Source organism: Homo sapiens, chromosome 12 (genome assembly GCF_000001405.40).
Source record: "Homo sapiens chromosome 12, GRCh38.p14 Primary Assembly".
Taxonomy (NCBI): Eukaryota; Metazoa; Chordata; class Mammalia; order Primates; family Hominidae; genus Homo; species Homo sapiens.
In genome coordinates this window covers 62,112,698-62,139,161 of record NC_000012.12, presented here as the reverse complement: position 1 = coordinate 62,139,161, position 26,464 = coordinate 62,112,698, and the positions used below count along the sequence as shown (strand labels likewise).

Sequence of the window (26,464 nt, the reverse complement as noted above, 5' to 3'; positions counted from 1 at the left end):
ACACCTTTTAGCAGAGATTGACAAGATCTTTTCCTAGGTTGGTAAAGGTAAACAGCTTTGGGAGGATTCTTCTTCTCATCCTCTCCCCCGCCCCCAAGCATTTAACCATATCTAACAATTTCTTAAAACCATAGATGTCCTCACTTATATATCTAATTACTCCATGGAAAAGGAAGGAAACTGTTTTTTTCACCTTATTTCTGATCTCTGGGTGGCATGAAATCTATTAATTCTTGTGGCACTTATTATTTAACTAAGGATAAAGTTGGCAAACTTGCTTAAAATGTAAAGCTCACACCTCTTCTGCAAAGGCTATTTTAAATTAAAATGAACGTTTCTGTTTCCATTGATTTAGATGTCTTAAGTGGTGCACTGAACTGAAAAGATGACATGCAGGAGCCCTTTGGTTGTACCAGGGGAGGCCAAACTTTGCTGGGGACTGTGCACACACTCACAGGCTGCATTTAATTGGCGTGCAGTGGAGTGTTGAGAGGCAGCCCTCCTATTACAGCAGTTATCATGCAAGTAGACTCTAGAAGACTGCACAGTTCAGTGTGTTCTGTTGGTCTGTCAATTAAGACTTGGAGTGCCAGTGACCATTTATTTACTTATTCATTCATCAAACATTAATTGTGCACATACTGTGTGCCTGGAATTGTTTCAGGAACTAAAACTATAGCAGTAAACTATCAGGCAACAATTCCTGCGCTTATGAAACTTATATTCTACAGGAGGCAAGAAGGAGAACATAAGCATATGAGTGCTATTAAAGGTATATCAAATGATAATACATACCATGGAAAAAATAAAGAAGGGTAGGAGAATAAGGAACATTGGGGTATTAGTTGGTGCACAATTTTATTTTATTTTATTTTTTAGAGACAGGGTCCCACTGTGTTGCCTAGGCAGGAGTGCAGTGGTACAATCATAGCTCACTGTAACTTTGAACTCCTGGGCTCAAACCATCCTCTTGCCTCATCCTTTCAAGTAGCTTTGGACAACAGGCGGGTGCCACCACACCTGGCTGATGTGCAATTTTAAATAGCATAACTGGGGAAGCCCTCATAAAGGAGGCGGCATTTGAGGCAAAGACATAAGATTTGAGGAGTTTGTGATAGAGATATGGGGGAAGAGCATTCCAGACAGAGGGGATAAGCAGTACAAAATTGAAGAGTGCATCAAGCAGGCTAATGAGGCTAGACAGGAGGATTTTGAAGATCTAAGGTGAGGTCAGAGAGGCAGGTCTGAGACCTGATGAAATTGGACTTTGTAGGCTTTCATAAGGCATGCAGTTTTTATTCTGAGCATGTTGGAGAGCCATTGCAGGGTTTGAATACAGGAGCGATGCTGTGATCTAACTTTTGTTCTTAAAGCATCACTTTGGCTGCTGTGTTGAGTATGGGCTGTATGAGGGTCAGGGAGGAAGCTGCAGGACTAGTGAGGAGGCCATTACAATAATCCAGGGGGAGATGATGATGCTTTGTATCAGGGTGGTTGGAGTGGAGGTGGTGGGGAGGGGTTGGGATTCTTTTGAGTGGATTAGTTATGTACTCCATGAGAAAGGCCCTAAGCTCTAACGTGTTTTCCAAGCACAGTGGATGACCATGCCATAAACTTAGCCATGAAGAAATAGAAGGTAAAGGAAAGAAGATGAGCTTTGGAATGAGATAATTCCGAGTTAGAACCTAAATTCCATCCTCAACCAGCAGTGTGACCTTGTGCAGGTTAGTTAACTTCTTGGAACCATTGTTTCCATTTATTCTTGAGTAGGAATAATAATAACTAGCTCCCAGGGTTCTTGTGAAGATTTAATGTGGTAATTTGTATTAAAGCAGCTCATAGAGGGCTTAGCATACCTAAATACTTCATAAATATTACTTTCCTTCAATTCCTCATTAGCTTATATATGATCATTTACAGTGTAAGTTTATTTGCCCATGAACTGTAAATATGTTCCCTTGACTCTTCAGGAAGAATCGGTGCAGGACATTTCTCTACATATCTGTCCTTGAGGTAGCAGGGGTAAGAAACAGGAGCTTTTCTGCTAAATAGGTGTGATTGTATTGAAGACAAATTCCTAACAGCATAGTACTTTTTTCTCCCTGTAAGCTTCAGTCCCATGTTTAAGGTGAGGGTTCTCTCCAAAGTAGAGACTTCTGCTGGGGATGGGGGTGGAGGATGGAGGAAAGTTCTAAGGACAGACTTGAGAGCCTCAGGGAATCTCTTCAAATTTTATGAAAAATTCTGTGCATATGCATATATTTTCTGGGAATAAGAAATGGTAGATTATGACATTTTTCAAAGGGGTGCATGTCCCCCCAAACATTACCAATTACTGTTCTATAAAGCTTTACTTAGCCAATGGCTATACTCTAAATACCACTCTCTGCATGCGAGAGAAATTGTTGCCTACTCTTGCTAATTCTCTTAACAAATATTTCACCACACAACACTTTGTGGTTAGAAGATGTTATCCTGGCTTCTCAGTTGTCAATATCTTCTGTCTTTGGTTCCCTCAACCACTGCTAATTATAAACTTCTCTGCGTATATAGTGTTTACAGAAAAAGCTTTGGATGTCTTTATACCTTATGCTTAACTGCCATTGTGAATTACAAGGATAGCTCATTTTTTCTGTGCAGTGATTTCCCAAAACCTTAGGAGAAATTATATTCTGAAAAGTTTTGTCCTCTGTTATTTGTATTTTTTGAATATTGGAATGAGATAGTTTCATAGAGGGAAAAAGCAGATCTATTTTCCTCTGAAATTATTAGGGTTGACAGAAGAATCATAAAGAAGACAAAAACTGCCACATGTTGTATGATTCTAGATTTATATCTATTTAGCTCATCTGTATCTCCATAGACATGAAACGATTCACAACAATTGTGGGTCACTGTATTAAAGAAAATAACTTTGAAGATTATTGCATCTTTTAATTGATTCTTGGATCAACTTAATCTAAACTGATGAAAGTAAATATACCTTTTCTTCTAATAAAATCCCTGTAATTTAAAAACAAAAATGTTCACCTGCTAACTAGGAATCGCACCCCAAATACTGCTGTGTGTGCAAGCCAATGAATTGATGAAGAAGTTGAAAGATTGCATGCAAAATAACCATCTAAGCAGTGATGAGTCAAATATTGTCTCATCAGCATTCATCATGATGCGTCTGGCATAAAAAAGAGCATTCTTCTCCTGAGACACATGGGGAGCAGGGAAAAGTCAATCAGGGTGAAGAAGCCATGCATTTCTTCTATACATGTATGATTTCTCCTGAGATTTATGTTGTTTATCAGTTCACATCACAGAATAAGAAAATCCTCACTTTTTAACTGTCTACTGACCAGCCAAAAGGTAAGCTTTCCTAATAACATTTTGCATAATATGATTTTTTTTTACTTTATTGCGCAATGCAGGCTTTGTTACTAACTTAATTGAGCTGATGATATTCATAAGTGAAATAATTCAGAGATGGTAAATCAGTCTCTGAGTTTGCTTTCTAAAAAGAAAGCCTATTTCCTTGTTTAATTTTGTTGTTTTACCATATGTGAAATCTATTTTTTATTACCTGTTTTTTTCTAATGTTTAATTTTATTTTCAAATAACCCTTTATTTCTATAGTGAATTTTCTGAATCTTTTCAACCTTGTAATAGTAACACTCTGCTGGCCCTATAACCTTGTGATGAAGAGATTTTTACTTGAGTAGTTGAGTTTTCAAATCATAAATCTGATGGCAATCTTGCGATGCCTGTCACTGGAGTTCTGTGCAATTTATTGAACTATCTAGTCCTTCAGAACTGACATTTTGCTTGATATCAAGTTAGAGGAGTCAGATTTTGTTAAGAATGTGGCTTTGCTTGAATAGACTTTGGACTTTGGGAATAGTCCAAAAGTCTCTCTCTTGCAATAGGATGTTGTTGACAACCTCAGATTTAGGTACCAGTCTTATCAAAAGAGGGAAGGGAATAGGTTTTATTGAGCACCTACTATGTGTTTCAGCTGTGACTAAGACACAGTCCTTGACTCCATAGAGCTTACCATGGAAAAGAGGTAATTTAGTAATTATTATAGTACTTGTGATTAGTATTATGACATGGAATTATTGCAGTGAATAGTAGGGGGTTTTAACTTAGTATTTGGGGTCAGAGAAAGCCTTCTGGAAAAAGAACAATGTTAAACTAAGATCTGATAGAAGAGTAGAAATTAGACAGGTAAAGGAGATGAGATCAGGAAGAAAGTAGGTAATGTTACAGTGCTGGGATGAAAGAAGGCTTCAGGCAGGGGGAATGGAATGTGCAATAGCAGCTTGAGGAATTAAAATAAGGCCTATATAGCTAGAGAATATAGAGATTGAGGAGTATGAAGTTAACTGGAGAAGTAGTAGGAACCATTCATTCGATATTAGGTATTGACAATTATATGCTAGGTGTTGGTGATGGATTAACTAGATGGACGTGCTCCCTGCCTTCATGGATTTTCCTTTCTAGTGAAAGAGACACTAGATGAACAAGGAAACAAATCATAGCCACAAAGTGTAGATTGTGACAAGTGCTATTGATATCTATCAGTTGTCTTTCTCAGCTTGGGCTAACAAACTACTGTAGACTGAGTGCCTTAAACAACCATTTTTTCTTGCAGCTCTGGAGGCTGGAAGGTCCAAGTTCAAAGTGCTGGTGGATTCAGTATCTGCTGATGGCCATCTTCTTGGTTTTCAGATGGCTGTCTTCATGCTGTGTCCTCACATGGGGTGGAGAGAGAGAGGGAAAGAGAGAGGAAGAGAGGATGTGCAAATGCTCTGGTCTCCTCCTCTGTTTATAAGGGCACTAATCTCATCGTGTGCTCCATGCTTAGGACCTCATTTAACCCTAATTACCTCCCAAAGCCCCACCTCTAATACCATCATATTGGGTATTAGGGCTCCACAAATATTCAGTTTGTATCAACAGTATTGTGATAGCAATCTGGGAAAGGCTGTAGGTTTGTCAGGGATGACTTGGTGGAGGAAGCAGCACTTTAAATTGAATCTTGAAGGACCAGAAAAATCCAAGCATAAGAAGGGGAAGAGAAAGAGTGTCCTAAGCAGATGAAATATTCTTTGCAGAGGCCATGCCTCAGAAAAGAGAGTGAGGTGTTTGAGGTTCTTGCAAAGAGGTTAGTGTTGCTGGAGTGTAATAATCTAGGAGTAGAGTATCGTGAGATGAAGTTAGAGAGGTGAGCAGGTAGAACTCTGCCTCCAGTTTTATAGGTAAGAAAATGGATAAGCTATTTGCCTAGGGTTATCTCAGGTAGTAAATGGCAAAGCCACGAAGCTAGCCCAAGCCTATATGCTCAATGATTATTTGTCCAAGCCTATGTTTGTTTGTTCATTCATTCAACTAACTAATATTTACTGGCACCCACATACCATGCTACAGTCCAAGGACAAACAATTAAACCAGGTATTCAAGTTCCTTGCCTTCATGGGGCTCTATCTTGCTTGCTCTTTTCCCTGAGTCATGTATCCTTGGAGGGCAAGGGGAAGATAAGAGAACTTTCATTTGTAAGCAATGGAAAAACAAAGCTCAATATGGCTTACGTATTTAACGGAACTGTTTGCTCACATAATGGAGATAAGGTTTCTGGGATGATTGAGGAAATCTCCCTCTCTATTTTTTTTTCTACCCTTCTTTTAGTTCTTTCCTCTTCTTTGATTTAGTTTTGCCCAGTTTTGGACTTTGTATCTACATTATCCAAAAGGAAAGAGGGTTCCAGAATTTTCATTATAAGTCCTGAGCTTTGTGCTCACTGAGTTGACCTTCATGGAGCCAGGAAAATACTCACACTGACATGCTTAGTCCTGGGTTCCATATTTATTACTGAAACAACCATGGTGACAAGGATATTCCCAGTTATTTAGAATATCCAATGTGGAAAGTTATACCAGTCTTTGGGAGTGTGTCAACAGGGAGTTATACCAACATTTGGGAATGTGTGTGCATGGAAAATTATGGAAGATGCACATGGAATTTTGTGGGAAATATTGGGTTGTGACAATGCTGGGGGTGCCTGTGTGTCAAAATTGACATATAGTGGATGAGGGTCAAGGATGCTATGGAGGTCTTGCAATGTACAGGATGGGCCTGTACCACAAATAATTATTCCACATTCTGCATTCCCTTGGAATGTGCTTCTGGACAATATTGTATTGAAAATGTTGTACTGACAACACAATATTGGTGAAAAATTGTATATAATTTTATATAATCTGAATCTAGACTTCTGCAAAATATATTTTTGGGGGCAGTATTTTAACATACACTGAATTTTCCAGAAATGTAGCTATGGATGTATTGTAATAATATTATACTTTGTTCAGAACTTTTCTGAGATTTGTTTGCTCATTTGAAAAATCATATCACAGATGGGAGGGTGATCTGGCATCTGAATTATCTGTGCAACATGCCTTATCACCTGTTTTTTAGGTGTCTCACTTCATGGTAATTCCATATAAAGGTGTATGCATCTGACTACAATATTGTGATTTACATATTAAAATACATTTTAAAACAAATTACTTTTGTTTATTTCTACGTTGTTTTATTTTGAGCAATGTATTGATTTTAAAAAATGTGTGGAGATAATTGTATTTATTAAAAAAATTTAGTATAGAGAGAGGCCATTATAAAATATTTATTATATAATTGGACTATTGCATTTAGTGGGGTTGAAAAAACTGGTTTAGACACATCAGAGACCACTCTTGGAGCTGGGGATAGGGTCAATACCTGTATTGCCTGGTTACTGTAAGCCACAGGAGAGAGGAAATAGATACTGGGGAGATACCCTCAGTGTCTCCTGGAAACTCATTTTTTTTTTTTTCTGCTAACTGTGGGCCTTTCTTAATATAGAAGTGATTAGAGTTTAATATTTTCATGTTAAGTGCTTTCTGAGGGAAAAATCCAGATTAAGGTAACTTTTTGTGAATGTGAGCTCGAATTGTTTATTTTAAAAAGGAAGTTAATTTGGGGAGAAATGTGATACAAATTTTATTTCATGTTGAAAATTTTATCTTATCAATGTAGATTTTAAATTCTTTTTTTTTTTTTGACTTGATTCAGTTTTGTGTAGGCATCTCTCACTTGTTCATTGTTTTAACATACCATTTCCTATTTTTGTGCTGTGTACTAAATGCATGCTTTGAACATCAAGGGTTTTCAAATACAAAAGCTGACCTGGCCATGAAGCTGTGAATAGGAATGACAGAAATACTAAATTTCTAGTGAAACAGTCATCATAGAAACAATGAAAGGATAGAAATGGAATACAGCAAATAAAAAATGGGGAATAGTGGTTTGGCTTATTTAATAGGTTGAACAGTGATATACTAACTCAGACTGAAGTTATACAAACATATCTGACTCCTTTAAAGTAGAGATTAAAAAAGAACATTAAAAAATGGTCATTTTAGATAGTGGAAACAGATTTTCTCTACTGCTACAAAATTTACACTCAAGTGAACACTTTGTCTGTTTCCTTGAATTAATTTTTTTTAAATCGTGTTTCTATTGCTTTGTTATAATGTATTTGGTGCAGTACACACAGGGCCACTCTTCAAAAGTGGTCTTGGAAATGGCCTGGGAAGCCAATCTGGAGTGTTGCAGGAGCACAATTGAAAACATTTTTCAAAGATAATTAGTGGAACACTACTCAGGTAACATGCCTGAAGCCCTGTAATTCCAGGACTTTTTAAATGTTTTAACAAAATAATTGATTATACATAGCAACCCGCTGCCCCGGCATCCAGCCCTTAATAGGGAGGAGCTAACTATTTGCTGTTGGGTAAGGTTAAGTGCGTAGAGAAATTGCAAATGTTACTTCTTTTTTCTTTCTCTGTGTGTGGATGCCACCCAGAGTCCCTACAGTTTAAGGGGTTGTAGGTGATCTATTTATTTTATAATTACTTAGCAGAGGATGGGCTCTGACATTTTGCTTTTGTGCCCTCAATTTCTAGCTACTCCAGTGAACTGCCATGTATGTTTTTGCATTGCTTCATATGTGCCATTCCCCACCCCCAACAAAAGCCAATGAGCTATAGAGCATTGTCCCTTTTCATTAGTGCGGTTTTCAGTTTTAACATGTTATTTTATGTCAGCTGGCTTTTTCCGTTCTGCATCAACATTGTAATCAGTAGCTAACATTTTGTTAAGCAATTTGTTGATGCTTATCACTTGTCAAGTTTTCAGTTTGCTAGCCACTGACATGATTTTCGCTTTCTTGTTCAGAAAGAGATTTTCACAGTTTAATAAAATGTTATTCAACATGCCATTTTCTCTCCTCTCTTCTCCCTTTCTTGACCCTTGTCCAAAAATAGGCATGTCCCTCTCAAAGAAACATATTGTGTTTGAAAATCAGAACACTTAAAACAGATCAAATATGGGTCAGTGAATTTCAAGTATCACTTAGAGAAGACCATTATGTGGAGCATGTAATATAGATCTATGTGTGGAAATACTGTCAACCGCTGTGAATGTCCCTAGCACAGTGCCTGCCACATAGTAGGTACTCAGGAAATGTCCAGTGAAACGAAAAGAGGAACACATGTGAATAGTCACAAAGTTGAAATAATAAGGAACACTAATTTTCATTCATTTCCCTACCCCCATACACCCTGGGGAGCGGGTTAGCCAGCAAAAATGTCATAACTGGTCTTTCTTTATTTGCAATATTAATTTATATTAATATAATATATCCACTAATTCCTTACCCCCTTGAATTGTGTATTTCAATTTCATTACTTTAATTTTGAACAAAAATATAAAGTTTTTCCTTCTCTGCAAAATTTGTTCCTTCATATGAGTTTCTGCAACAGCAAGAGAAAGTCTAAAGTCTTCCTGATAGCAGCCGAAAAGATGTGAATTACTTTGTTTACGGAGAGTAAAGGAAAATGCTAAGGGGGACATTATGTGTTAGGCTGCAACTATGGTTGTACAGTCCCTCAGGCCTCCAGTCACTTGGGAAGATGAAAGCAATTTACCAGAGGAACTCTCCCTTGTCTTATAATTTACTGTTAAAAATAGCTGCTAAAAGGTAAGAAAGTTAAGTTCCTGAATAGAGCAAGTACTTTGGATTTATGTTTATCATTGTTATAACTGGGAAATGGGATTTATGGGTTAATCTGATATGCTGGGTAATGGAGTGCTACTAAAACATAACATGAAAACTTATTATTTATCCAGAATGGTTGAGAAATGGTATGTTTTAGAATTCTGGATCTTCAAGAGTTGCCACACATTATAACCTGTACAGCAGTGGTTCTCACCACAGATAGTATTTTGCCGTATAGCGGACATTTGGTAATGCCTGGAGACATTTTTGACTGTCCTGGGGATGAAAGGAAGAGGTGCTAGAAGCATTTCGTGGGTGAAGTCCAGGAATGCTGCTAAGCATCCTACTGTGCACTAATGGTCCTCAAAGCAAATAATTATCTGGTCCAAAATGTCAGTAGTTCTGAATTTGAGAGACCCTACCCTGCACTTAACATTTTTTAAAATTAAATTAGGATTTAGTAAAATTACAAGATGACAGTGAGCATTTTTGGTGATTTAGATAACAATTTAGCATCTTACAGTGCTTCAGTGTCTTTGTCAACGTTCATTACCACCGTATCGGTGAACTGCAGAAATGTTGGTTTGTGGAGATTCCTGATTGCCAGATGGGTAGAGACGTTATGCTGTGGTATAGTTATCTGAAGAGGCTCAATTGATTCTTATGTCATAACAGTTATTTGAGTTAGAATTGTTACTTCTTATAGACAAAATTATTCACTTTTCACATTACAACAGAATGGAAATACAACTGGATCTTTCTTAATGAGTTTTTAATCTCCTTTAAAAATAATAGGTGGTATGGTATTGAAAGAGTACTTCTCTCAGCACTGCTGTTATTACAGTGTACTATGCTTTTATTTTTAGGTTACCAGGAGAACCTAAAAAAGAAGAAAAACATTTTTTCTGCCATTTAGATAAAGTTTGTGTATACAGTCCAAGAAAATAAAAAAGAAAAATACCTGCTTCTGGGTAGAAAACCAGAGGAATCTATTTATTGGTCAGTGACTTAAATATTTACCGAGGACTGTCTTCTTCACATTCAGGCTAGAGCAGTAAATAAGATAGGACTTTTTATGATGTTGTTTACTGATTTATTTGAAAAATAATAAAAGTTTAAAGCATGAGACTGAAATTAATTTTATGTGTCTGCAGTAACCTCTTTCACACATGGATTCAGATTTAATGTATCGTATTTACAACTATACAGACTTACACAATAGAAACTGCCTGTTATGTGACCCTGATCTTATCCACGGAAGTACGTTTTCAATTATGAGGTGATTAAGGAGCTTATCATCAGGAAGTGGCTTTATGCAACAATGATTCCTTTTTAACTAAGCACATATTAAACACCTAATATGTGCCATGCTATTCTGGGAACAAGGGGCATAAACATGAATTATGAATAGTCCTTGCCATCCTGCACAGCTATGGAAAGAGATGTCAGGGACAGGGAAGGGAGAGCGGGGAGAGGGCAGTACTGAGAATGGTGAGCGGAACAGGAGTGGTGGGGAGATATACGTGGTAAAAGGCTAAATAAGCATGAAAGCAATTTACACCTGTGCTGGCCTCTTGTTCTTTACCTGGATTTGTTTTTAGCCCTTTCTGTTAGAAACTCTTAAGTCTCAGCTATGTTGAATAATTAGCTTTGGGAAAGGCAGGGTAAACACAAGCTTAATTTATGTTTGTTTCACAACCTCTGAGTTTCCAAGGAAATGAATTATCTGAGTACAAAACCAGTGCATTGATTTTGTCACAGTTAACAATAACAAGCATGTGGCTTCTAGGACCATTTCCCTGAATAGATTAACATCGAATAGACAATGAAAATTCTTGAACCTATATTATTTCTGTTTCTATCTCAAACCATAATCCTAATTGGACTTAATCTTTTTTGTCCTAGAAGGCAGTGATAAAATTGACCTGAACAAACTGCTGAGATAGAAGTAAAAGAATTTTACTCAGGCACCTTAATCGCAACATGTCCAAAATAAAACACATTATTTTCCACCATATGCTTGCTTCTTATTCCCTACCCATTTTTTTTCTTGCCTTGATTGTGCCTCCCATGGATTTCTTTCTTGATGGTCTTGATACCCTCAAATGTGTTCCCCACTGTGCTGTCAGTGTGAATTACAGACACTAAAAATGTGAAGAAAATAATAATATTAGCAGACAACATTTAATTGAGTACTTACTATGTACTTGGTATTTTTCTAAATCTTTCCATTTTTACAGCAGTATGATATTAGAACTATTATTACCTTTATTTCACAGACAAGAAATCCAGACAAGAAAGACAAGGCACAAGAAGAAACTTGCTCTAGGTAACATACCTAGAATGTGGCAGAGACACATTTTAGCCCCAGGCATTTTGACTTGGGAGCACTGGCTCATAACTTGCTCAAGCCCTTGTGTTTAAGACCTTCATGGTCTCCTCAAAGCCTACCGTGAAGTTCAAAGTACGTCCATCCCCCATTAATGACTTTAATTCATTTCTGAAAAACTTTTTGCTAAATGAAAAACTAAAGGTAAAAACTTTTATTAATTTTAATAAGAAAAATTATAATGGATTTTGTCACAACTTAAGATGAACCAGTTTTCACAGAAAAAAGATAGCAATTCAATACTGAAAATGAGTGTATATAACTCAACAACAAGAATGCAAAAATAAGTAAGTCCAATTTCTACAAAAAATAAAGGTTTATTATACCTGCCAATGGAGAAAGGAAAGACTTAGGAGTGGGTAGGGAATGATGGAGGTGGGTGGGGTGCAATTGAATCATTCTTCGGAAGGTGCAATCTTCCTTCTGACCCGTTTTCTAAACCAATCCTTCAGCAGCCTTTTTGGGTTTCTGATAACCTTGCACTCAAACTTTACTTTGTAACTGATAGCATACCTTTAGGGCAAAATAAAGGCCTGACTTGAGACCACATGTAGTAATACATAAACCCATGATGAAACTAGCACATACATATATGTATAATAGACTGATACTTTCTTTTCAACTTACTTAAGAAGTGTTTGGGTTCATCCAAATGTGATGTTTAATTCAAATGTGTCCTATAAGATATTCTCTGGCTAGTCAAGTACATGGGTGACCATGTCTCCCTGAAACTGTAATATTACTATATCATGTCTTATGTGTATTTATTTAGTGGATCTTGGGGGAAAAGATTTCTCTACTGAAAAAGAAAGATTTGTTCAAAAACTGGCATAACTTTTCAAGAGCTATAATTGTAAAATTGTTAGCTAAATGATTATTATGAAGTAAGTTTATACCTGGCCTGTAAAGTCCCCAAGGTTCTGTCCTTCTGTGGCTCTCCGGCGTCATCTCTTCCCTCTTCTCATCTCATCTCTAATTTGTCAGCATTACTGCATCGTTTATACTTATGCATTCATACTATGCTGTTTCATACCTTGATTCTCTCAGCATGGAATATCAACTTTCCCCTTCTATGCACATAGAGGGGGTTTGTGGCACAACGGAAGAATCTCAAACTTTGGAAACCTCCATGTTTTCAAAAGGATGCCAGCAAACCTGCTCAAACTTTACCCTGGAAAGAAAAAATATCTTTATTATCCTAGTGAGAAAACAAACCTGCCTTCTGCCCTGGAAAGAGACACTATTTCTACCTTCCAAGGCAGTTTGACATAAAAACATTCCTGAACAGCTAATCTGGAACGAAATATATGTTAATGCCTTTGCTTGGAAAGTGCAGAAATGGGAGCCACCCATGGAGAATTGTCTCCCAACAGCTGATGCACTTGGCACATTGTATTAAAATTATCCACTTAAGTGTCTGGTTGGTGAGCTCATTTAGGGCAGAAAGGTAATCTTTTTCATCTTTTCATCCCTACTATTCAGCATAATGCTTGTCAGCGAGTAGAGAATCAATGTATGTTTATAAAATCAATGAATTAATAAAGACTTTTAAAATATGGAGAATATGGGGAGCTATATTTCAAATTATTTTATAGCGAATAATCCATTAAACCACACTAAGACAACTGGTTTTCAAATGCCAAGTGGCCCACAGACAACCAGCTGGTTTTCCGTGATCTGGATTCTAATATATGCGAAAAAAATTTATTATATGATGATAATATCAGATTCACTTATTATATGCCAAGCACTGAGTTAAACTCTTTATAAATAATGCCTCAGTATATCCCAATAAACAACCCTATGAGTAGTACTATTATTATCTGCTAGTGGTAACAGAGACTCAGAAAGTTTAAAGAAAGACTCAAACAAAAAGTTTAAGTAACTTGTTCAAAGTCATACAGGTGGTCAGTGGTGGAGATGGAATTTGAACCCAGGCAGTTCGACGCTGAAGATTGTGTTTTAACAACTTAAGTTGTGCGACTCCTCACAGGAAACAAAAGAAAAAAAATATCTGCGGGAGTTATCTTAGGTTCTCTAAACATGTGCTCTGTCTCTCATACCAAACTTGGATAGACAGAACACAAATATGCCCTATTAACAGGTTCAGTGAGCATTTGGGAAACTAAACTGAACCGTTTAGCATTTGGGAACTAAACTAAACTGAACCGTTTTAGTAAAGATGTCTCTCTGAAAGGAAATTCTTCACGACGGTAAGATGAGTGTCTTCGTCTGTGAATGCTGAGGTTGGGGATGCATGAAGATATGTTATTGCTAACCTTCAACTAAACTAGGGCAGAGCCGGGCCAGCTTCATGGGCATGTGATCTGTGTAGTCACACAGGGCCCCATACTTAGAAGAGCTGTGCTTAGAGCAGTTTGCTTGGTTTGGTTCCTGCTCTGTTTTCAATCAGTCAGTCCCTGGATATTTCTAAGGGTGAGGACTCCAGAGGGGAAGGGTGAATTCCTATCAATCATATTCCTGTAATTATTAATTTTTTAAAAAAATAAAAGGTATACAATTCTGCAGAGGGAGTGAACGTCTGTTTTACAACTCAGGTGCTCATAGAATCCTTTTTGGCTTTTTCCCCAACCTCTTTCTATGTACATGAAAGTTCACTATCACCCATCTTAAAAGAGCTGTGCTTAGAAGAGTTGACTTGGTTGGGTTCCTGCTCCGTTTTCACTGTTTTGAAATTCTTGGTACTTTTTTTGAACAAGGGGCCCTGCATTTTCATTTTGCACTGGCTATTTCAAATTATGTAGTGAGTTATGGGCTGGAGTCTTGATTGACCCTTTACAACAGTGCATTATTTGACAATAGAGAAAGGATATGGGCTGGCTACACCAGTAACTAGAGGTTCTGCCAATATCTGTACTGGAATTTCTAAGCCGTGGAATATCCAATTCCCTGTGTATTTGACGATTCTGCAAGATCACGCTGGGATTGATTTAAGATGTATTTATTGTTGAATACTAGCCTATCTTAAGGAAAATAATATTACAGACAGTTATATATAATTTCCTAATTTTTAAAGGTCTTAGATCTATTTTCATTCTTTTTTTCTGGTCTGATGGTTTGTTTTAGGCCAATTTAACCATTCTCCTTTTATAATAAACACCAAATCAATTCAATGAGAGATAACATTTCCTTTTAACAGCAATCAATATTTACTATTTCCCTTTTGATGTATAAGTTACATTTCTGTTATCCTTAGTAAATGTGGAATGCACTTTGTGATTCCATTTTCTTTTATTTCTTGGTGTGTGTGACTGTAGGCTCAATATACTCTACTCTTGGGTTGGCTAATATATTTCAGTGATGTTATCAACAGCTTTGATTTGTATTCTTTTAGTAATACTTCTTAACTCCCTTTTTTTTTTAACTTCCTCAGAAATCTTACTTAGAGACCTTATATGACCTTTGGTCATACTCATCTGCATTTATTTCTGACAAATACATATGTAATCCAGAGCTTATCTCTTGAAGCTTTTTTTTCTGTACAGTTTTATATCATTATCTTTGCAATCTTTGCGATTCTCTGATGAATTCTACCATTCTTCTACAAATGGAAATAAGCAGGGGCAAAAATACTGATTCGCAGTGGTTTAAAAACCACTTGTCTTGAGTTATTGTTACTAATTTATCCAACTTCTAAATCTTTTCTGTTTCCAAATTGTTGCATCTTGTAGGCTAGTCAGCTTAAATTCGAGTTTAAACAGGAGAATATTTGATGAATAAGTTCTGTAACCTCCTAACTCTACAGACTTGTCTGTTGTACTGCTGCAGACCCAGCAGAGGGAGCCCAAGTTCATGAACCAATCTCAGGAGCGATTTTGATGGTTTAGAACTAGTTCTCCCTCAAAAGGTGGTGTGTGTGTGTGTGTGTGTGTGTGTGTGTGTATGTGTGTGGTGGGGGAGATTTGAGAATATGTGGGGTAGGTGTGTGTGTGTGTGTGTTGGGGGAGGGTTCAGAATGTATGTGTGTGTGTGTGTGAGAGAGAGGGAGAAAGTAGAATGAAGAAGTATAAAGTGTTAACCATTTGAATTTTAATATATACTTCAAATGTGGGGGATATATTACATCTTCTGAAGAAAAATGACAGAAATGATGAGGAGAAGCATTTGATTTTCAGATCCTGAAAAGATCTGACCACTTTTTTTTTCTTACTTTTCCAGTTAGCCTGTTCTCCCTTTAAAAGTTTTCAGATTGAATTCTTATACATTTCCATTTCTTGTGATTTTTATATTTAGGGCAATTTCCCAGTGAAAGCTTTTTTTTTTATTCCCTTCTTCAGTCTATTACCTTACAGGCCCACACATTGTGTGTGCACCTACATCTGAGATAGCAACTCTTGGAGATTATTTAAGTTTAGGTGAATGTTTATTCAATAGATTAATCAATTAGTCCACCAACTATCCAAACAGACTTATTGAGCTTCTAGTGCTATATGAGGTGTGGAGTGTGGGCATAGAGAGAGAGTATGCAGTTGAGAGAGGGAATAAAAGCTGTTTTCTGTCCTCGATAAACTTAAATGTGGCTGAGTATATAAGCGTATTTGGTAAAATACAAAATGTTATGTATCTAAATGCTAAGCAGTAGTTCAAAATGTCCATAAAGTGAATATGAAATAGGTGTTCAGAGGAGAAATATGTAGATACCTGTAGCTGGAAGAGCCTAGAAAAGCTTCAAGGGTGATATGAGCTAGATGATGACTGGTTTTATGCATGTTGAGATGAGAGAAGAGGGTTCTCCATGGTAGAAAAGCAACATAAGAAAGGCCATGGAAAAGAAGGTATGGTTTATGATGGGGCTGCAGGTCACAGTGTGGGATTATGCTGTTTGTGTGCTGCATACCCCTATGCGGTGCAGTTCACACCAAGCCAGTGTGAATGGTGTTTCTCAATGTACCCAGTGCCCTAGAATGAATTCTGTGGTGATTGGGGTTATATGGAACAGTGAGTGGTTCCTAGCCCTTTGTATGTTATCAATCACTCATTGAGAGGAATCTATACAGAGGCAGTGCAGTACGGTGGGTATATATGGACTATGTAATACATTGGAATCTTGGGTTCATCAGAAAATAACTGTGTGACCTAGCTCAAGTTATTAACCTCTTTATGCCTTATTTCCCCCTCATTTATAAAACCACACGATAATGATAGTACCTACTACCTGGAGTTGTAATGGCTAAATGAGATAAAAAGTCAATGCTTAAAGGAGCACCTAGAGCCTGAGTGTTAGCTGTTATCCTCAAAGAGCTGATGTGTTGCTCTAACAGAAGGAAATATCCTACTTTTTCAAGTGTAGAAATATTCCATTAGGCTTTTCGTTATGAACATCCTGGGTTTCATCTAGACTACTTTGTCTTTTGCTCTTTGAGAATGATGGAGCAGATCATATGCTGATCTCACAGGCGGATTCATTGAGGTAAATCAGATAGCATGGGCTTTTAAAAAAACTTATAAGTTCAGGGATACAAGTGCAGGTTTTTTACATAGGTAAACTTGTGTCATGGGGATTTGTTGTGCAGGTTATTTCATCACCCAGGTATTAAACCTAGTACCGATTAGTTATTTTTCCTGATCCTCTCCCTCCTTCCACCCTTCACCCTCCAAAGGCCCCAGTGTGTGTTGTTCCCTTTTGTGTGTTCATGTGTTCTCATCATTTAGCTTCCACTTATAAGTGAGAATGTGTGGTAGTTGGTTTTCTGTTCCTGTGTTAATTTGCTAAGCTCCATCTCTGTTCTTTCTGGTTTCAGTAAAATACAAAGGTGACACTGATTTCAGGAAGAGTGATGTTCACCTGGGAATTCAATGGTCATGCTTGTGCTTGCAGCTTTCCCACATTTTCTAGTTGTTTTGAACCATGGACAGAATATAAGCTCCATGAGAACAGGGGTTATGTCTACCTTGGTCACTGTCCTATCTCCTGAACCTTACATTTGCTTTTACCCTCAAATGAATGGGTCAGTGATTGAATAGAGGCATGATTTAGATAATTATCTCTTTTTCTCACAAATTTGTTGGCTGTCCTATCCTTAGCATAGTTGAAACAGGTTATTACTACAGAATATCTTGAGAGATGCCAAATTTAATATCTTTCCTGGTGGTTGAATCATTGCCATAAGATGAAAATCACTTATACTTTAGATCACGTTATAGTTTAAAAATACTCTCTCATACATCATGTAATTTCTGACAGCATTCATGGGAATTCGTTATTTCTCATAACTAATAGATTTAGTCACTGAGTCTCAGTAAAGTTGAATCACTGGCTCAATGTTACACACAAATCATTGTGGACTTTGGACTTAATCTGAGGTCTCTGACTACAAGCGCAAATTTTTGTGGCACTATACTTTTTAAATATCTGACTTGAAAGCCTTATGATGATACTCACTCCCCCGGCAGGAATAAAGTCTTTCTAACTTCCTCATATTGGTGTATATATGTTTATGAGATTAGGTAGGGGTTATCATGGAAGACCCCAAGAGGGATTCATAGGGAATGTGATACTGAGCAGAACCTTGAGGTGAGGAGAGATTGAACTTACCTAGGGTAGTTCATAGAAATCATGATGCAGCCAGATCACCGGAGGTCAGGAGTTTGAGACCAGCCTGACCAACATGGAGAAACCCCGTCTCTACTAAAAATACAAAATTAGCTGGGCCTGGTGGCATGCGTCTGTAATCCCACCTATTCGGGAGGCTGAGGCAGGAGAATGCTTGAACCCAGGAGGCAGAGGCTGCAGTGAGCCGAGATCACGCCATTGCACTCCAGCGTGGGCAATAAGAGCGAAACTCCATCTCCAAAAATAAATAAATAAATAAAATAAATAATAATAATAATAATAAAGAAACCATAATGCAGCCATTGGAAATGGAAGGCCTAGATGGGATACCCCACTAGAGACTCTGGAGTAAAGGCAGGAGTGCATAAAGAGATAGAACAGGAGAGACTGGAAAATAGAGAGCCTGGAGTGGGCATTATAGATTTTCATACCTTTATGTGAAGCTGGTCATGCTGTTGGGTCAGCTGGAAACCTAAAGCCAAGTAACTGAGTAGGCTGGAGTTGTGTTTGACTGTACATACCACACGAAGGAAGAGTTTGGAAAGACTATTTCTTACTTTCTCTTCTTCTCTAGTTTTGGAGAAAAGTCTTCATCAAATATGTTAGTAATATTCAACATTTTCTATGCCAATGTTTACATTATAGTCTGAAGCATGTCTGGAAATGGATGTTGTTTAAAAATTTTACCGCTATTGACTGCTTCTATTTTAAATTTCCTACATAATGAAATTACTAAATGGAATCTTTAAAAAGAAATACAAATGCCTATTTAATGAGACCATTGAAATGTACAATGCCATATCCTCTTACGTGCTTAGTAATTACAGACGTAGTTGAAGTCAGTCAACATTTGTGGGTATATCAGTTGTGGAACGACATAGATGGGCCTATTTTAGATTTATTTATGGCTCCCTGATTATATTGTGGAGCAAATTTTTGTTCTTTACAGTATCTAGCACAGCACTTTCTCATAGTAGATGTTTAATAGATGTTTGTTAAATGGTTTGGAAATTAAACACTTTTACTTTTTTTTTTAATGTTTTTTTTTGAGATGGAGTTTCGCTCTTTTTCCCCAGGCTGGAGTGCAATGGCGCACCAGAACTTCTGCCTCCCAGGTTCAAGTGATTCTCCTGCCTCAATCTCCTGAGTAGCTGGGATTACAGGCTTGCACCACCACACCCAGCTAATTTTGTATTTCTAGTAGAGATAGGGTTTCTCCATGTTGGTCAGGCTGGTCTCAAACTCCTGACCTCTGGTGATCCAACCGTCTCGGCCTCCCAAAATGCTGGGATTATAGGTGTGAGCCACCGTGCCCGGCCAAACCCTTTTGCTTTTACAGAGATGCAGTCATACCATGATGGAGCAGAAACAGAGAAACAAGAGCTCCTCTGAAATAGTGGATATGTGGCAATTAATTTACTTTTTGGTGTGCCTTTTCTTCATTTGTGACCTACTTATCTATAAGGTACAGGTTAATTCGGTTTCATTTAAAGCAGCGTTCAAAAGAGCTAATACAAAAATGAGGTAAAACAAATTATGTCATAGTAGGAATGCAAAAATGAAAATAGAAGTGGATATGTGGAGCAATGATTATGCTTGCCTTTCCCATATTGTGGTTACTTTTGTGTATGGTGTATGTGTATATATGTATGTGTGAATTTGTGTGTGTTCCAGTTAGTCAAAACAGATTTTTAAATATGCCTTGTTGAGACGATTGGGGATGCTTCGGGGAAATCATCTTCTTGTTTCTCTTCTTTTTATAATCATTCTGATTGTATTTGATAGTATTGGTAACCTCAACTCCTACTATGCAAATTTTTTTTCATTTAAGAAAACATTATATAACTAATTAGAATTTTATGTAAGTAGTAAAATTTGGGAGTGTTTTTTTAAGAATAATGTAATAATAATTTCCAGTAACTACAGATCAATGCCTGAAGAGTAAATAATTCATTAAATGTCTATGAAAACATGACACTAGGTCCTTCCCTCACACTACATGAAAAAACAACTCCATATAGATTAAGGATTTAAGTATCAAAAGCAAATCTTTAAACACTTAGTAGATAATCCAGATGAATGGTTTTTAGGTCTAGGATGTAGAAAGATATTTCTTAAATAAGGCATAAAACATGTTAACTATAAAAGAAAAGACATATATTTTGCTATATTAAAATTAAAAGCTTTAGTTCATTAAAGAGATGTCTTAAAGTGAGAAGTACTGTCACAAACTAGTTGACAATCTACATAACGGACAAAGGATTGGTGTTAAGAGCACAAAAAATTATCTACAAATCAGTAAGAAAAGTAGCAAAAGTTATAAATAGACACAGAAGAGAAAACTCATATGACTAACAAACATATGAAGAGATGTTTATTACACGATATCACATCCATTAGTGATCATGAAAACACAAAGAAACATAATAATACAACATAAATTTACACTGTTCTTTTGGAAGAAAATATAAAAGCCTGATAGTGTCAATTATTGGAGAGGAAATAGGTCCACTGAATGTTCTTCGCTGACTGGAGGGCAAATTGGTGCAATCATTTTAAAAAACATTAAACAATTTGGAAAAATTGAACATTCATATATCATATGACTTCAGAATTATACTCCTAGATATCCAATAAAACTCATTTACATATACAACAAAAATATGTGTAAAGATGTTAACATCATTGCCACTTGGAATGGAATAGCCTGGAAACAATCTAAATAGACATCAGTAGGAGAGTGGATGAATAAACTGTGGTATATTCACATTAAAATATGACACAGTAGTAAAATGAATGAAGTACAGCATTTACAAATATGAATAAATTTTAGCAATATAATACTGCACAAAAATAGCAAGTTCTAAAAAATTAATGATACCATTTTATAGAGTTAAAAACTAAAATATCCCTTTAGATACATATATATGTAATTATTCTTTGTGTACAACAGCAAGGGAATAAAGGGAATAATGAGTATGGGATGAAATTTGGTTATTGCCTCAAATCTGAAGATTCAGAGGGATGTCATATGAGGTGACTGCATAGTTGAATGTGGGTTGCAATCAGAGCCCCAATATTTGTTTTGGGAAAATTCATGTGTACTTATCACATTATTAAAAATGGCCAAATAGATAAAAGTGGGTCATACAATTACCAATGCTGAGAGTATGTTATAAGCCACGGATTATTATTAATCCAATTCTGTGCACCTGAAGTACAAAGAGGAAAAAAAGATGAACTAGTTCCCAAAATAGATGAATATTAAGGAAATTCAGTTTTTAGCTATATTTTAAGAGTTGGCATGGCAGGCTCTATTTTGTTGCTATTTTTATATTATTTATCAATGCATGTTTAGATTGTATGTTATAAGAAAAACAGCTTTAAGAACTCATTCCCAGGTTATCTGTGTCTATCACATAAAAAAGGAAACATAGGACTCATTCTACTACATTTTCTTGGTGCTCACTTAAATTATATTTTATATATTTTCTAAAGAAAAAATTGAGACAGTACTGAAACCAGTTTTAATACAGATAAGATACTTGGAACATTTGAAGTGTTGAGCATTTAAATAATCAGCCTAAACACATCTGTTGGAAATATGTGGGGTCCCAGGCTGAATACTGTGAGTCAATATGTGGAATTTCAGATCTAAATATCTAATTTACTAAAACATAGTTCCTAAAATGCACCACTTTTTTTTTATATTTAGAAAACAAAATTGGAAGCATTCTAGAATAGCAAAATTAAAACTATTGTGAATTATTGCAAATATAACACAATGCCAATATAATGAGGGCATATGCAAGATCCAAACAAACACAGGAACTAACCAATAAAACGAGTAGGAATTTCAGCTTACAAAAGCAACTGGCAGTCTTTAGAATTTGTAAATACTATTTTGTAATGAAGCCCAGATACTTATTCACATCTGTTTGTTAGGGTTGCCATAACAAAATACTACAGACTGAGTGATATTAAAGAACAGAAATTTCAAAGTTTCCGGAAGATAGAAGTCCAAGATCAAGAGTTGGCAGATTTGGTTTCTCTTGAGGCCTCTTTCTTTGGCTTGCAGTTGGCCATTTTCTCCCTGGATCCTCACCTAGTCTTTCCTCTGTGTATGCATCCCCGGTGTCTCCTCTTCTTTTAAGGATACCAGTCATGGTGGATTAGGGTCCTACCCCAACAGCCTAATTTTAACTTATTTAAAATGGCCAAATAGATAAAAGTGGCCAAATAGACAACCTCATTTATCTCCAAATAAGGTTACATTTTGAGGAACTAGGGGCTGGGGCTTCAGCATATGAGTTTAGGAGGAACACAGATCAGCCCATTACAACCTCCATTTCTGTTACTGTGATTCCCACGACTTAACTCCATAATTAGTGTCTGCTGTTTTCCAGGTCCCGTTCTAGGTTCTGCTGGGACACAACAGTAAAGCCTACAGTCTGTACATCACAGATGTACGTGAGAAAGCAGCAAAGACCCAAAATTAGAGGAAAAATTTTACATTTGCAAGTGCCATTATCCCTAAATCCCTGTCATTTTTATTGAGGACTAAAGGCTTCCTTCTTAATTGTTTGAAAAAATTAACCACTGTTAAATAAATAAATCCCTGCTGCCACATACGCCAGAGCCTACAAGATACTTTATGGAGGTTTGCACATGAGAGCAGTTTAATGGCAATGGAACACCTGTAATTAGAAGCATCTGTCGTTGTGATAATGATTGTGGGCTTATATTTAGAACCACTACGTTTTCTCTGTCCACAAGGTCTTACTGTGTTTTCTCCCTGGCTCTCACACAGGCTTTCCTCTGTGTATGCATGCCTCAGGTATGTCTCCTCCAATTGTAGCCACATGGGCTTCGTGCATCTCAGTGTATGCTGCTGTGAAAGATAGCTATCTGTCTTGTTTGAGGTACTTCTCAGGTCCCTTCAAAGTGGAATTTGGGTTAGCCACACTGTACGTATTTGAAGTCAAAGAGTTCCAAGCACACCCTCCAAATTTTGTGAAAATCTGGTGCCAGTTATTTTCATTTTTTTTCAGTAACAGACTAAAGAACTAATATTCAATTTTATTTAAAATGTTACTTTCCTAGATTAGTTAATGATTCCTTTTTCTCTCCATATGACTTTCTGTTATTCCCTTGACTGTCCTTTATCTGGGAGGCTAGACCACACAGAAGGATGCAGAGAACAACAGGGTCAAATGATTTTACTGAAGTTGAGCCAGCTAGACGTAATGGGGCTAATGTGGATGGTCCTGAGGAACACCGTGTAATCACCTGCTTGGGCCAGTGACCAAGGACAAGAAAGGAAGCTGGATGTCAGAGTGGATACCACTGCAGATAAATAGAGTTTGCGAATCAGATTCACTTTCTCCTTCCTGTGCAGTTAAGTAAGCTCCCTCCATCTGGTACAAACCAGACACAACCGTGGGAAGCAGGACTGTGGGAGGTGAGAGTGGGTGTGAGGGTTGGGAGGGGATACATCTTTAAATGTACTGAGATGACATTTTCATCACACAGTTATAAAAACATAAATATACAAAAAGTGGTACTTCTTGCCCACCTGAGCTTACAGACTGTGATTTGGACATGACACTCTATATTCCGTATATTTTAGTTTAGACATGATGTGCACTGCTAACAAAGACTGAAAAAGATTGAGCTGCGGCATGGCTTGATCCAAGGCTAGAGGCTCATGAACTTTAAAAATCTTACCATAGCGCTGTAATATGCTGTCATAAATAGAAAAAAAATCAGTGCAGTGTGAATTACTGGCCTCCTGCTGCAGCATGGAGTTGATCTGATACATACACTTGGAAAGTGGGGCCTGGGGAAGGAGACATACACAATTTTGGTGCAAAGGGTGCAAATTTTGGTGTTTTCAGTTTGATAACTGACCTGTTCTGGTCAGGATGATCTTAGTAGTTTCTTTTCTAGGCTTAGAATTAAAATTCTAGGCTTAGAATTAAAATTAAAATGGAAAATAGACAAATTATAGGGAAGAAATTACCCAAAGGAGGTCAATGTTTTGAGAAAATATGTAAAAATGAAGATATTGCATTGGTTTTAGAATTTAATGTTGGTCTAAATGACCAAAGTCACACTGCATAAGATCAGTCAATTTTTAATTAAACGAGCCCCTTGAATTAGAATATGGCCCATGTAAGAGCTATGACAAAAATTACTAATAAAAATTGAGTTATTGGAGGAATCTTTGGGGACCCTTGGTGCTATGAATTATACCAAGAAAAGCAACCTGTACAAATATAATAGTGAGACTTTGTATAAATGTGCCTGGTAATATTAAGGAATGGTTAAAAGTATGGATTTTGGATTCAGGTATACTCTGATTCAAAGGCTGGCCCTATAGTTTAGTACCTTTGTGAACCTCGGCCATGTACTTTGCCTTTCTGTAAAATGGGAATATGGACACGCTCCACAGTATTGGGATATTAAATCTGACTACATAATTAATATGCCTGGCAATGGTAATTGGAGGTCTTTTAGCAACATGACCCATGATATAAACATTGTTCTTAGTTAAATAAAATATCATCAATTATTGAGACATTATAATTTTTGCATTCTTAAACAATTTTGTTACACATTATAAATCATTGATATATGACAAAAGTTTTATGAGGGGACCTGGGCAAGATGGCCGAATAGGAACAGCTCCTATTTGCAGCTCCCAGTGAGATCAATGCAGAAGGTAGGTGATTTCTACATTTCTAACTGAGGTACCCAGCTCATCTCATTGGGACTGGTTAGACAGTGGGTGCAGCCCACGGAGGACGAGCCAAAGCAGGGTGGGGCATCACCTTACCTGGGAAGCACAAGGGGTCAGGGAACTCCCTCCCCTAGCCAAGGGAAGCCATGAGAGACTGTGTCTTGAGGAATGGTGCATTCTGGCCCAGATACTACGCTTTTCCCATGGTCTTCACAACTTGCAGACCAGGAGATTCCCTTGGGTACCTACACTACCAGGGCCCTGGGTTTCAAGCACAAAATTGGGTGGCTGTTTGGGCAGACACCGAGCTGCTGCAGGAGGTTTTTTTTCACACCCTGGTGGCACCTGGAATGCCAGCGAGACAGAATCATTCACTCCCTTGGAAAGGGGCGTAAGCCAGGGAGCCAAGTGGTCTAGCTCAGTGGATCCCAACCCCATGGAGCCCAGCAAGCTCAGATCCATTGGGATGAAATTCTTACTGCCAGTACAGCAGTCTGAAGTCGACCTGGATGCTCGAGCTTGGTTGGGGGAGGGGCGGTCAGCACTACTGAGGCTTGAGTAGGTGGTTTTTCCCTCACATTGTAAACAAAGCCGCCAGGAAGTTTAAACTGGGGAGTGCCCATTGCAGCTCTGCAAAGCTGTTGTAGCCAGACTGCCTCTCTATTTTTCTCCTCTCTGGGCAGGGCATCTCTGAAAGAAAGGCAGCAGTCCCAGTCAGGGGCTTATAGATAAAACTTTCATCTCCCTGGGACAGAGCACCTGGGGGAAGGGGCAGCTCTGGGCGCAGCTTCAGCAGACTTGAACGTACCTGTCTGCTGGCTCAGAAGAGCAGTGGATCTCCTAGCACAGTACTCAAGCTCTGCTAAGGGACAGACTGCCTCCTCAAGTGAGTCCCTGAACTCCGTGCCTCCTGTGCCTCCTGACTGGGAGACACTTCTCAGCAGGGGTCGACAGGCACCTCATATAGGAGAGCTCTGGCTGGCATCTGGTGGGTGGCTCTCTGGGATGAAGCTTCCAGAGGAAGGAACAGGCAGCAATCTTTGCTGCTCTGCAGCTTCTGCTGGTGATACCCAGGGAAACGGGGTCTGGAGTGGACTTTCAGCAAACTCCAGCAGACCTGCAGCAGAGGGTCCTGACTGTTAGAAAGAAAACTAACAAACAGAAAGGAATAGCATCAACATCAACAAAAAGGACAGCCACACAAACACCCGATCCGAAGATCACTGACATCAAAGAACAAAGGTATATAAATTCACCAAGATGAGGAAAAACCAGCCCAAAAAGCCTGAAAATTCCAAAAACAGAATCCCTCTTCTCCTTCAAAGGATCATAACTCCTTGCCAGCAAGGGAAGAAAACTGGATGGAGAATGAGTTTGACAAATTGACAGAAGTAGGCTTCAGAAGGTGGGTAATAACAAACTCCTCTGAGTTAAAGGAGCATGTTCTAACCCAGTGCAAGGAAGCTAAGAACCCTGATAAAAGGTTAGAGAAACTGCTAACTAGAATAATCAGTTTAGAGAAGAACATAAATGACCTAGTGGAGCTGAAAAACACAGCATGAGAACTTCTTGAAGCATACACAAATATCAATAGCCAAATTGATCAAGTGGAAGAAAAGATACGAGATTGAAGATCAACTTAATGAAATAAAGCTTGAAGATGAGATTAGA

The 26,464-nt window shown here is 37.6% G+C and overlaps 1 protein-coding gene and 1 long non-coding RNA gene across 6 annotated transcripts in view; both read left to right on the top strand.

The window, feature by feature from the left end:
• The window catches only part of TAFA2 (TAFA chemokine like family member 2), a 551,762-nt gene that overhangs the window by 120,873 nt on the left and 404,425 nt on the right, over positions 1-26,464 (top strand). The window lies entirely within an intron of this gene.
• Positions 1,688-10,214, top strand: LOC124902950 (uncharacterized). Its single transcript, XR_007063341.1, has 2 exons — positions 1,688-1,724; positions 3,156-10,214. It is a non-coding gene; the product is annotated as an uncharacterized LOC124902950 (long non-coding RNA).